Source organism: Homo sapiens, chromosome 13 (assembly GCF_000001405.40).
Source record: "Homo sapiens chromosome 13, GRCh38.p14 Primary Assembly".
NCBI classification, from domain to species: domain Eukaryota; kingdom Metazoa; phylum Chordata; class Mammalia; order Primates; family Hominidae; genus Homo; species Homo sapiens.
The window spans coordinates 74,685,061-74,699,013 of record NC_000013.11 but is presented as its reverse complement, the minus strand read 5'-3'; the positions used below and the strand labels follow the sequence as shown (position 1 = coordinate 74,699,013).

The 13,953-nt window shown below is 38.0% G+C and overlaps 2 annotated features.

The window, feature by feature from the left end:
* Positions 2,020-2,599: an enhancer, noted in NCBI's record as "NANOG hESC enhancer chr13:75270552-75271131 (GRCh37/hg19 assembly coordinates)". NCBI's record gives its function as "activates a minimal SCP1, AML or CMV promoter by ChIP-STARR-seq in primed H9 embryonic stem cells {active_cell/tissue: H9 hESC(primed)}" and the evidence as "EXISTENCE:reporter gene assay evidence [ECO:0000049][PMID:30033119]".
* Positions 6,635-6,967: a silencer, noted in NCBI's record as "fragment chr13:75266184-75266516 (GRCh37/hg19 assembly coordinates)". NCBI's record gives its function as "represses an EF-1alpha promoter that drives an FKBP-Casp9 reporter gene in an ReSE screen in HepG2 liver carcinoma cells {active_cell/tissue: HepG2}" and the evidence as "EXISTENCE:reporter gene assay evidence [ECO:0000049][PMID:32094911]".

Below are 13,953 nucleotides of genomic sequence, written 5' to 3'. Positions count from 1 at the left end.
ATCAGAGAAATGCAAATCAAAACCACAGTGACATACCATCTCACACCAGTCAGAATGGCGATCATTAAAAAGTCAGGAAACAACAGGTGCTGGAGAGGATGTGGAGAAATAGGAACACTGTTACACTGTTGGTGGGACTGTATACTAGTTCAACCATTGTGGAAGACAGTGTGGTGATTCCTCAAGAATCTAGAACTAGAAATACCATTTGACCCAGCCATCCCATTACTGGGTATATACCCAAAGGATTATAAATCATGCTGTTATAAAGACACATGCACACGTATGTTTATTGTGGCATTATTCACAATAGCAAAGACCTGGAACCAACCCAAATGTCCACCAATGATAGACTGGATTAAGAAAATGTGGCACATATACACCATGGAATACTATGCAGCCATAAAAAAGGATGAGTTCATGTCCTTTGTAGGGACATGGATGAAGCTGGAAACCATCATTCTCAGCAAACTATCGCAAGGACAAAAAACCAAACACCACATGTTCTCACTCATAGGTGGGAATTGAACAATGAGAACACTTGGACACAGGAAGGGGAACATCACACACCGGGGCTGTTGTGGGGTGGGGGAAGGGGGGAGGGATAGCATTAGGAGATATACCTAACGTAAATGACGAGTTAATGGGTGCAGCACACCAACATAGTGCATGTATACATAGGTAACAAACCTGCACATTGTGCACATGTACCCTAGAACTTAACGTATAATTAAAAAAAATAGTTATGGGACACATTCCTCAGTGGCCATAAGTCCCACCAGATCTTAGTTTCATCTGGTTCAGTTTGTGAAACTCACACCCTACGGGCTTGCTCCATGTAAGCAACTCTGATCTTCAGTCTTTCTTATCTGTTGATTTCTGTTGTCTCCATAACTGATTTCAGAATAACCATAAGACAAATCCTCTGGCTAGTAATCTTAACAGATAAAGAGGACCCAGTTGTTAAGACAGATTTATCCCAATCACATTGTTTCATCTTAATGCATGCTATAAAGTCACCACATAAGAATAAAAGCTATAGCATGATACTGATCATATCTATTATTTCTGAGAACTTGCTAAATGTTTGGCACTGTGCTACACCTTTTATAGAACTACTAATTTTGAAAATGACCTATAACATGCATATTATTATACTGGTTATATTTTATAGACAAGCAAATTGAGGCTTAAAGAGGTAAGTGATCTTGTTCAATGTTACACAGCTATGTGGCAGAACCAGAAATCAAGTCCAGATATATCTAATCCAAACTCTTCAACTATTCTCTCATCAGTATTAGGTGTATGGCTAGAAATTTTATTCTCAGAAACTACAAGACATCATCTGAATTCAAAAAAGAATGCAATCAATTTCACTCTTTCTATAGCTACTTTCTGAGCATTGATTCCCATGACCTTCCCCAGGACCATAAGAATAGATTCCCAGGGGCCTCCAATTTTCCTTCTTCTAACCCAGACTAAATACTGATGACCTTCCCTGTAACGCTTTCTAATAACTTTCCATGGTTCCCCTTTACCTGTACCACTTGTGATAGGTAGAATAATGGTCCCTTATAATTCCAAACCACTACAACCGCTATCATCACTATAGCTTATCTTTCATTAACCTTGTATCCTCTTAGTGTCTGGCAAAGGGTGAGTAACTAATCAAAATTTGGTCAATTAATATTAATTTTAAAATAATTACATGTATATTAGTACAGAGCCAAAACTCCAGCTCGAAACTCCCACCTGCTTTCATTACCCTTCCTGGTGGGCTTCTCTGCTTCCCCATTGGATTATAAGCTTCTTGTAGACCAGGATTATGTGATACTTCATTGTGTGAGCATGTAAATAGTTGATACTCAGTGTTCTTAATATAATTGAAATGTAAATTATTATGATTACACAGGGCCAGCATAATTAATAGGCCATACACTCAACTGAGAATACAAGAGATAAGTTGTTTGCACTGCAGATGGTATTTTCTAAAAATGAATAAAGTGGCATGAACTGAATGCAAGTTTATGTTATCTCTAGTTGAAAAGAAAAGTTTCTCTCTTAAGCACTATTACGCCTTCTTTTGGCAGCAGCAATAATTTTCTTCTTAAATTCACAAAAGTCCTAATTCTTGAAAAAGTATGCTAGAGCAATGTGGTTTACTCAAACAACAGCAAGCGCTCTCTGCATGATTCCTTTTCGAACTTTCTTTAAGCTGTAGTCCTGTCTCTGTAACAGCTTTTTCTCATTAACAGCATGTGTTGAATTTCAAGGTCTGATTCTCAATGGACTTAGGTGAGCAGCATTTAGCCAGAGGGCAAAGGTGCCACAGCCTGGAAGTTGTCAGAAGTTCATAGTAAACTGACATCTAGAATCAGAAATGGGAGGAGGGGAGGGGGCTAGGTACAAAAAAAATCAAAAAAGAAAAGAAAAAAAAGGCAAAATGTCCTGTGTTAAGAAGTTGCAACGAGTGAAGACAAAAAATTTATTTAAAGAAATCAAGTCCCTTGGAATGGTTTCATTGGTTAACACCTGTGAAATAGGTAAACCATATAGGGAAAGACGGTATACAACTCACCTGATTGAGGACAACACTGAAAAAGGGAACAGATTCAGACTCGCCCTGCATTATAAAAGGCGGATGGGGTGAGTACAGGGGCTGGGCACAGTAGCTAGCTCCTGTTCCCAGCACTTCTTGGGCTGAGGCAGGAGGATTGCTGGAGCCCAGGAGTTCAAGGCTGCAATGAGCTGTGACCATGCCACTGCACTCCAGCTTGGGCAACGGTGAGATCCTGTCGAAAAAAAAAGAAAGAAAAATGTTCCTTTCCCCTTTAATTTCACAAGAATATTAGAATGGGGAATTAGGTCATTTTGTGTAATACCTTAGATATCAATACAGAAGAATAAATGTCATGTGAACCCAAGTTACTGCTTTCTTGTCCTACCTTTTCCAGGGTGAATTGCAAACACACTTATGCACAATAAGCATCATGAGTGATGATGAACACAAAGCTAATTGACCTTAATGAACAGAACAGGCAAAACAATCCTTCTGGAATTCCACTGCATAGAATCACTCTTCAGAACACCTCTGCAGAGCAAGCAACAGAGTTTTGGAGTATTTTTAGATACCGCTACCTAGGCAGGATTTTCACTAGAAATGTGAGCAATAAAACACACACTGCCATCTTTGGGATTTGTGTGGATGCTTGGAGGTGATTAGACAGGCTAGTAGGATAATCTGTTATGGGGACAGAGCATATTTGGGAGATAAAATGAATGAAAGCAAAGGACTGCTTAGAAATCGTAGGTACGTTTGATACTTGGTTTACAATCTTTCCAGCTGTGAAAGGCTCCGCTTGGGTAGCCCAAAGCCAGTGCTGTCACTTTGCGATGTGTGAATTGAACTGAGCTCCAGCTGGTCGCTATCAAGGCTAATATAAGAGGCAGTATGGTGCCTCTACCTGGCCGAAGACATCCCCTAAGTGTGAAATGTCACATACCTCTTGTTGAAAGTCTGCTTATTCCTCTAATTTCATCACTGAGTTGTGTTGCACGGGGGAGTTCTTATTCCTGTCCTCCGTACAAATAGGCTTTTAGTGAATTAACTGACTGGGTTGGCAGATTGGAAACTATTGGAGAACAGGGTTATGAGGAAGGGGAGGCATTTTTCTTTGGCCCCCTTCTGTTCTCGCAGCTGCTGGAGGCTATCAGGGCCTTGAAACCTTGTTTATTAGCTGGGGGTTTTGAGATCTGCATCAGTGCTGGTGGGTGTTTTTATTTGACGTCTGCTGACTCACTTGTATTTTGAAGTACAGTCTGTGTCATTCCTCCAGTGTGACTTTTTTTGGAATGAGAGGGAATTATATTTTTAAAGAAAAAAACTTGATATTTCCACGAGCTTGATTTACTCCCTGTCTGGCTGTAATGTTAGTCAGTGTTTAAAAGTCAAGGACAAGCAATTAACAAAACTGTTTCTCCACTCCTTATTTTCAGGTTTATTTTTCTATCTCAGAAGTGTCTTTTGGTATAAAGCAATAGGGTTTTTTATGGTTGGCGTGCGTTGTAAACTTCAAAATGTTACCTCTGCTTAACTCCGCATAGTTTAACCCTTCATGGTTTAGAATGAAAGGAGAGTAATGTCATTCACCTCATTATTTTTAGTGTCTTTGCTGTACCAAGCACTGTGCTAATGCAATGAGATTCTTTGATTAAATAGAGGTTATAGCTAGTAAAAAAAGAAGGTATATCAATAAATAAGAATGATATGTAGTGCTGTCCATTTAACAGTTGAAGAAGTAAAGAAGGCTATTCGTTCTGAGTCAGTGCACCCTAACCCCAATCCAATACCCATCCCTTTATGCAATGCATGCCCCATGCCTCACTGTTTTGAATATTTATATTTGCATATTGCATACTGGCAGATTTCAGAAAGTGAGGAAGAAATAGTTCTAAGAATGAGAGTTTAGTTCAACCATAAATAACATGTTGTTGAAGTGAATACAGGTTAAACATAAAAAGCAGAGTAACACTCAATCAAAAAAGAAACAAAACAACAGCCTGGAGATTATTTCCTGAATGAATTATAACTGGCCATTTGAGGAAGCCTCAAAAGACAGAGTGCTATCCCAGTATCATTCAACTTGATGTGGTTTTAGGGAAATAGGAAAGGGATAAATTTGTTGGTCTGGTCTAATCTGTTCCCGCCCTTCTAAGAGCTCGGGTGGAAGAACAGCAGGCGCATTGAAATATACACTGAAAAGTATTTCTGAGAACCAAGTAGTAGGTGGTAAGCTGGGTGATTTGCAAACTGTTCAGTGACTTTTAATGACCCTTTAAAAATGTCCTAAGACAGTGCCTCTGAAACTTTAAAATACAGTCATCGAATGATGATATCGTTAAAATGCTGGTGCTGATTTAGAAAGTCTGGGAAGGGGCCTGGCAACTTGCTTTGCTAACAAATGCTCAGTCAGTGCCTAGGCTGCTGGTCTCAGGACTACACACTTTGAGTAGTGAGAATCTAAGAAACTGGGACTATAAATGGGCATTTCCAATGGGAATGGCGAGACTCACAAAGGAGCCCTCTGATAATCCTATTTCTAGTGACAAATCAAAGCTAAATAGTATACACAGGACTAGAAGTCAGTAATTAAAATTCAGGAATGTTTTAGAGGAATTAAAATCAGTAGGAGGGAAAATCCCTCTACAATATAAATGTAGATTTCTGAAAAAGAAAATACCAACTAGATTTTGAAATAAATGTGCTAAAGAGAATAAATATTAGGGACAACATGTTACAAAAGTAATTTTACAAGAATTGATAGGTAAGCTTGGACTATAATTTTAGACCACATATAAAATGACCTTTTCGAATCAGCAACTGGGAGAGTAGGTACATAGAAAAAAATGTATTGAACAGTTCGTCCCCAGTAAGCATATCATGAAATGTCAATTGGTATGGATACACTGACTATCTCACTTAGTAGTTATAAAAGAAACGTAACTACAGCCATTATGTAGTATATCAAGTAAATGGAACACATCCTTTTCACTTCTGTGAATTTGTCATTAGCTTTTTAGGAAACCCAGGTTTTTTTGTTTGTGTGTTTACTTATTTCATATCCTAATACTACTAGAGATGTATTCATCACATTATTTTACCACATAGTTTATGTTAAATGGCAATGGTGGCTTTTAAGTTCTAGACCTTACTTGAATGCAATAAAGAGTCTCAAAGTTTCAAGATCTCTCACTAGATTTTTGAATGTAAAAAAAAAAAAAAAAAGTCCTGACCATTCAATGTATTATTTAAAACTTCATTTAAATAGAAACTTATTATTAGAAGAAGAAAAGCACCCAAAATTATGACACAAAATGCTTAAGAGAAACTAATTTTTGGGGGGTTATAGTACTTTAAAAATCAACAAGAGAAATAGTGAAAATAGTAACAATTGTAATGATGGTGAGAAAACACAAAATCTAGAAAGTCATCAGCCAGTACATCAGTTTAAGGGAAAGAATGCCCATAATCCAAAACAGAGAATGAGCATTAGAGAACTCACATGATTAGAATCTGAGCCCAAGCTGAAGAAGTGTGCTTTGAATAATCAAAAGCCTAAGGTTTATAATATTGATATATGCTCAGTTGCTTTCACATTAATTTCAATTTAATCCAATAAATATTTTTGAGGCTGTTCTGAATACTAGGAATTCTTCTAAATACTAAGGGAATTCTGCTAGCCACAGATCAGAAAGGTACTCTAGAATCAGTTGTCACCCTCATGATAAATTCTGTACCTAACTGTCCCACCTTGCTTTATTGTACCTTACCCTCTGTTTCAAAGCATATGCAATCCCTGAGATCAGAGCTACATACAAATATATTAAACTGAGATAGAGCTGGGTACAGTAGCATGAGCCTGTACTCCCAGCTACTCAGGAGGCTGAGATGGGAGGATTGTTCGAGCCCAGGAGTTCAAGGCTGTAGTGTGCTATGTTCAGGCCAGTAAATAGCCAATTTACTCCAGCCTGGGCAACATAGTGAGATCCCATCATTAAATTTTTATTTATTTATTTAAACAGAGTCTTACTCTGTCACCCAAGCTGGAGTGTGGTGGTACAGTCATGGCCCACTGCAGCCTTGACCTCCGGGTCTCAGGCTATCCTCCTTCCTTAGTCTCTCGAGTAGCTGGGACCACAGGCACATGCCATCATGCCTGGCTAATTTTTAAATTATCTGTAGAGACAGGGTCTCACAGTGTTGCCTAGGCTGGTCAGTAACTCCTTGGCTCAGGTGATCCTCTGGCCTTGGCCTCCCAAAATGCTGGGATTTACAAGTCACTGTAAATCCTACCCTAAAAATTGAAAAAAAGTAAAAACCTGAGATAGCTAGAGCTTACTAAGAAACATAAACAAATTATGCAAATAGATACAATCTTCAATATAGAATTTCTATAAATTTGTTGGAAATATGTCATTGATCAGATTGAAAGATATTATGAGGAAGAAAGATAAGTCAATTCTCCTCAACTCCTGTTTCATTTTGAAAGAGCTTCAGTCTTTATATACAATAAATTTCTTAATATTCTCTTTATGATTACCTAATTGTGATGAAGAAAGTTGTAGTCTTACCTTGTATACTGGGATTTTTCCTGCAAAATATATGATGAACTTTCCCTTAGAGAAAAGAGAGACACATGTCATAGCATCTATGTTTGGTAATAAAGTAATTGTCAGTATGGCAATATGCTTTATTTTAAAATTTATCATGAGACGTGAGTTTGCCTTAGTGAACAAGATGTGGCCAAATGGTTAAGCTGAAATGCTTGTTCTCCATTAGGAAGATCAAGCAGACGAGTCACAAATCTTCAGAGGCCCTCTCCACATACCCTTGTCCTTCTCTCACCACATCCCCTTCCCACACACAGTCCTCCAACAAGAGCTTAAGAGGAAAGAAGCCCTGGAGGGTCTGTGACACTCCTGCTTCTGAGGGAAGGAGTAGTTGGGATGGGACAAATGTCCTTTGCAGGCCTCAGGACTCAGAAGATGAGGCCATTTCAAACCTGTTGACCATCCTCAACTAACAAGCCCAAGCAACCAAGAAGATAGGGGCATGATGGAACTGAGGTCCAGAGTGACTCTGATGAGGTCATTTATTATGGATTCCCTTATTTATTTTTTCATCACATTCTTGCCAGGGGATCTGCCTCAATAAAAGAAAAAGAAAAAGATTCTGTGGGCAATTAATTTTGGCAATTGCTGCATGGTATGATTTCTACCCCTCTTGGAGATTCATAAATGCATCACTGCATTAAAGACTCAGGGAAATCTGAAGTAAAGGAAATAAACATTGATTAACCCACCATGTCCCAAACTGATTTGACTCTTAATAATATCTGGAATTTGTTCTGCAGAATATACTTTGCTAGCTAGCCTGGCCACCCTGGGAAAGTTTTCCTAAGAATAACTTCAATAGAAATATAGGTAGATCTCTTGTGTGTGTGTCTGTGTGTGTGTATGAGAGAGAGAGAGAGACAGACAGAATTTCAAAGACTTGATGACAACACATTTGAGTGCATGAATCCAGCCTTTCGTGATTTCTCAGAGCTTTTGAGCAATTATATCTGATTTTTGCTTAATTTTGTGATTGGCCTTTGAAAATGCCCTAATAAAGTCATTAATTTAACTACAATAAAGACTAAGAAATTAATAGCATTGTCTCAACAAAAGAAAATCTCAAATGACAAATATAAAGAACACATTTAAAATTATTTCTGTTAATTTTCACTTTTTGAAACATACCATACAGTGTAATTCATCAATAACATTGCCTCTGGTTATTTATGTTTAAATAATGACATTTCATTTCAAATGGAACCCAGAAATAAGTTTCACTTTTTGCTGAATGCATCCTTTAAAATAATTGAAATAGTTTTGCATAATGATTGCATTTAGATATTAGTAAGCCGGCACGTTAATGAATGCACTGGAATTTTTTTTATTTTCAAGAAATAAAACATAATTATGATGAATTCAATGCTTATGGTAATGTAGAGGATTGCTAATAACACAGTATGACCATTTAGTATACTTAACTCATAGGCACCTCTATTTCTGGATTTCTTTAGAGAAGTAGAAACTGCCTTTGGACTTGGCATCACGTTGTGACGTGTTTATGGTATGTGTGGGCAGGATGCGTGTGTGTGTGTGAGAGAGAGAGAGAGAGAGAGCGCACGAGAGAGAAAGTTAATATTTGAGTACTAACGAAATAATATTTGAGTCCCTGAATCCAGGTATTTATGAGGGAGCTGGTGAATTGGCTAACAGTAACTCTCAAGTAAATAAAAACATATTTGACCCAAGTAATCTCTCAACGAATGTTATCTTGTATCAGTAGTTTTTAATTTTCACCTTCATTAAGACTCAGCTCTCCAAAGGGTGGTAGCTAACAACTCTTTCTGAGAGCCATTTCAACAGAATCAGGTTGTTGCTAGTCTCATGTCGATAATCCAGTTCTAAGACATGATTTTGGTCATGTAAAGAGCCAAAAGACAAAAAAAATATATATATAGACATCTGATAAGGTAATCCGATTCTCTAGTTGTGAAGCCAGATTTCCTCTTTTCTCAGCAGCCCTATGTTGTCGGTCTGTTTTCAGGAGGGAACAGTGTACCTCTCAAGGTAAATGGTATGCTCAATCTAGGAAAGTAACATCCTGTTTAAAATATATTAAAAAGACTTGGGTTTTCCTTTATTACAGGTTGTAGAATGCTACGCCTTGTTACATCTGCTCTCTAAATCCCAGGGGTTCCGAGGAGCTCAGTGGCAAATGTGCAGCCTTCTCAAAGAATCATTCCCCAGATATTGGCAGAAACCATTTTGGCTTCCTATCCTCCTCAGTGATGTCTTGCTCCTTTGGGATTTATTCCAGCAACCTGTTCAAAAGAAGAGGTTTAGTGGGTATAACACACTGGAATACTGTATGCTACACATCAGAATATTTCAGCTCTGATGTTTTCTGTTTTTTTTTTTTTAAAAAAATATTAGTTTTTACAGCATTCTAGTGCTTTATTTGTTGTGACAAGCTTTTCCTAATAAGACACTGGTTGTTTCATACAAAGTTCACAGTACCTTCTCATTAATTTCTAAAGAACAATTGTTATGACAGTTGAGTAACTTATCTACTTAAAGACGTTTGTGCTGCAACGAAATGGTAGCCTCAAAATCTCCAACATGTACATGATGAAAATGTCCTTTCCTGTACTGGACATTGTTACTGGGTAGTCTACTCTCAAGCTTGAGTTGAAGAAAAAAACCCGTTGGTTTTCTGTTTCCTATTGAGATACATTTAGTCTGCAAAACAGCCGCACCACAATTTTAGACATGTTCTCACAAAATCACACAGGTTTTGTTGCCTCCAACCGTGTAATTTATTGTTCTGTACCGATCAGTTGTTCGTATCTGGGATATTGAGCAGGACATCCTAGTTATCTTTGCAAGGTGGCATATTTGCATGTCTTCAAAGGAGAAAGCGGTGTGTTGACCTTCTGATCCTAGGCTGGGCCCGTGAAAGCAATCTGGGGACAGGAACAGCCAGAACTCTTGGTGACATCCTGAGATATAAGGAAAAGAGCTATGGATTTAAAGAACATAATTTATAGCACATAATTGTGGATTTCAGTCACCACTAAAAATAAATTTCCTAAATAGCAATCAAAATCAGTGTAATTGAGGTGCGGGGAAAAATAGTAGGGGGCAGAAGGGCATCATGGCCATCGGTGCCTGATTCTTTTCTGCACATTTATGGTTATATTGTGAGATATTTTGTAAAATGTCATTTGTAAGAATTCAATTTTCTCCCTTTCTGTATACATATAAACCTGTGGTTTGTGGGAGTGGGTTGAAATAGTTATGTCCAGGAAAAGAATATAAAGAAAGGTAAAAAAAGTGAACATTCCTCCATCTATAGGAGACATGACATTGGTTGGACACTTACACCCTTTAGCAAAAGAAAAAACAGCATTGCTCATTTTTTACCTGATGATTTGCAATTGGACTAAATAATACAAAAGGCAAAGCCTCAAAAATTGTTACCAGGATGAATATTACTTGTGGCAAAGCAAAACACAAGAACCCCACACACTCCGTTGTCTATGATGTGAATATGCATTGCCCAATAATATCAAAGGCAAAATTAGTATTTCAAATTCCATTTAAACAGGTTTTGTTAAACCTCTGAACCAAGAGATTGGTTTACAAACTATGCCTCGAAACAAGGTTTATATAGTGAAATTCAGAATTAAGTGCCCTTAACTCTCAAGGTGGCTTCTGACTTCCTTTCAAGAATCAATACTAAGAAAGGTGTTGGTAGACCAAGGGCATGAACTCCCCAGGAAGCTTCTGAAGGATGTGAAAGAGGATAAATTGCTTCCCTTTCCTGCTGGCTCCAAAGCGCTCTTGTGTTTTCAGCTCTGGAAATGCATATGGAAACAATTGCTCCTGGACAATTTCCTCTTCCCTCAAGGCGGGCTGGGCCTCTCCAAGTCTGTATTGTAAGCCTTGCAGCTTTGCACAGAGGTCAAGGGTCAGAGCAGCCAGACCTGCAGGGACAATGCCCCAACCCTAGCTCTTGCTGTTCAAAGGAAGAAAGCATACACACAGCATTTCTGAGTTCCATTAGTTTCATATATTATCTGATTCCACACCTCATTTTTCCAATGAGAAACCAACAAAATTAAAAATTTTTGCTCAAGGTGAAACTGTGAGTTAGGAAATGAAAGGGACAGGATTAGACCCTGGCTGTCCTTGCTCCAGTTCTGGACAGCTTGTTCTATGTCGGGCCACGTCTGTCTCATAAGTGGCCTTGCAGTCCCCTGAGAACATAGGCCTCCAGTTTTAGAGGGGTGAGTCATGAAACATTTTCATCCAGTCCATTCCATCAGGGTCCTTTTCAAAAGAAGGCAGACCGGATCTTTTATTTGAATTGAAAACTGATGACATGCTTAGCGCTTACACGCATGCTTCTTGGTTAGGGTTTCTCAATGGAGCACACAGTTCTGTGGAGCTGAAAGTATTATTTTAAAATACGTGAACAATATAGCAGGTGTAAAGTCTTCTCCCATTTACCCCTATTTTGTATGCTTTTGAGAGAAAAGTATAATGCTTTTGAGAGAAAAGTAAAGGTGATATTACTGTTCGTTAGAATGAAGCAGCATTGTTCCTTCTTTAAGTTTCAGTATAACTAAATAGCCAAATATCCCAAAAAATGGCTTCATTAAAAAGAATTTTAAAACTGTTACCTTATTCACTGAGGAATCCATTAAGCACTTCCAAATTTATGTGTGATATAATAGAATGTAGCCATTGGCATTCCTATTGATTTTGATTGTGTATTTTGCTTGTTTGTGGAATTGTAGGAGTACCTACATAATTATTTGGAATTCTGCATTTTTTTATTAATTTAATTGTTGATGTGTATGAGTATGGGCTCATATGTATTTTATACTTTGGACTATAATCTAGTACTGCTTTTAAATGTTATTGTTCAAATACTTCCAGCTTTAGCCATTAGAAACTCTTTCAGTTGGCTCCCGTCCCTTTGACATACATCCATCAATGTAATTATTAATGTTTTTGAGCACTTCTCTAACTTCTAGCATTACAAGGTGTCCTGGACTCATCTAGTATATGCTCTTCCCCAGCCATAGAATTATCCATTTCTCTAAGAAGCCTTGGTTCTTATGCTGAAGAATGGTATTAGAAACCAAAATCTGGGCACTAGGTATGTTTATTGCTACTAGGGTGTTTTTGCTTCTAGGTCCTTTTCGTTGGCAGAGAAAGGAAATATATGTGTGCACACTAACCTTTGTATGTACGCATACTTTTAAATACTTTTGTATGTATCTGTATTAAGATAAATATCAGTTCATATCTAATGGGGTACAGGGCATGCTTTCCCAAAATATGATACCTGGGCATGTGAGAAAAACAGCGGAAGCAAGAAAGTCACTCTCACCTTCCCGTCACCCTTCTCCCATGAAGCAGGTTATAAGATCCTTATTCCAGAGGTGCCCTCCATTTATCCAGAGGATAGAAGCATCTTTATCTTTGAAGACAAGGAAACAGAGAAGAATCGGAACAAACTGGTCTTACTAAGCTCCTCTCAGTTTATTACCATTAGATCATACCTCCTCTGTCCAATCATACTTCTTCACAACTGTCTACTTTTTCATCAGACCTACTATTTAAAAAAAATACACATTTAACTGTTTCTTCGGGTCTTCATTTCTGAAATCTCTCATATAACATAATATGTATATAATAAATTGTATGCTTTTCTCTTGTTCATCTGTCCTTTGCTTTTAGGGATTGGGCCATGAACCTAAAGTGGGAAGAAAAAATATTTTCTTTCCCCAACATACTGATGCCTCCAATTCTAATGCATTACCACATGGATCATTCTAGTCTTCTCCTCTTGCACAACTGTAACTTCTTTTTTTTGTTTTTTTTTTTTGTTTTTTTTGAGACAGCGTCTCACCCTGTCGCCCAGGCTGGAGTGCAGTGGCCCGATCATGGCTCACTGCAAGCTCCGCCTCCTGGGTTCACACCATTCTCCTACCTCAGCCTCCCCAGTAGCTGGGACTAAAGGTGTCTGCCACCACGCCCAGCTAATTTTTTGTATTTTTCGTAGAGATGGGGTTTCACCGTGTTAGCCAGGATGGTCTTGATCTCCTGACCTTGTGATCCGCTTGCCTGGGCCTCCCAAAGTGCTGGGCTTACAGGCGCGAACCACCGCGCCCGGCCTCTGTAACTTCTTAGTGCAACAGTGAGACACCTTGTTCCCACCATTTGCCATGCACTTAATTGCTCATTTTCAATATACATAAACAATTTGTACTTCCATGGGAAAAATAACCTTTATCCACTAGAGTACAGTGCTTATGTACCATTCTATTTGTCTTTAGTTTTACAGTTTCTACCCGTTTCTTAAGTTACTCAGAGCATCACCTTTTACCCAATACCCATCAGTGAAGTTATTTCATACATTCATAACACAGATATATATATTGTCACAGTCTGCATCCTCTCCTGGGACTCCTTGACTCCTAAATGGTTTTTTTTAATTTTCATAAATTAAGGTTCACCTTTGGTACTGTAAGGATCTGTAGGTTTTGATGAATGCATAGTGTCATTTCTACCATTATAGTATCATACAGAATAGCTTCACCTTTTAAAAAATCCCCTGTGCTTCTTTATATTTAATCCTACCCCCTTTCCAAACCTCTGGTGACTACTAATCTTTTGACTGTCTCTATAAAGTATATAACTTTTTCAGACTGACTTCTTTTACTTGGTAATATGCATTTAAAATCAAGCCATGTTTTTACATGGCTTGATGGGTCATTTATTTTTACTGCTAAATAGTATTCCATTGTATGGATGTAACATACCTTT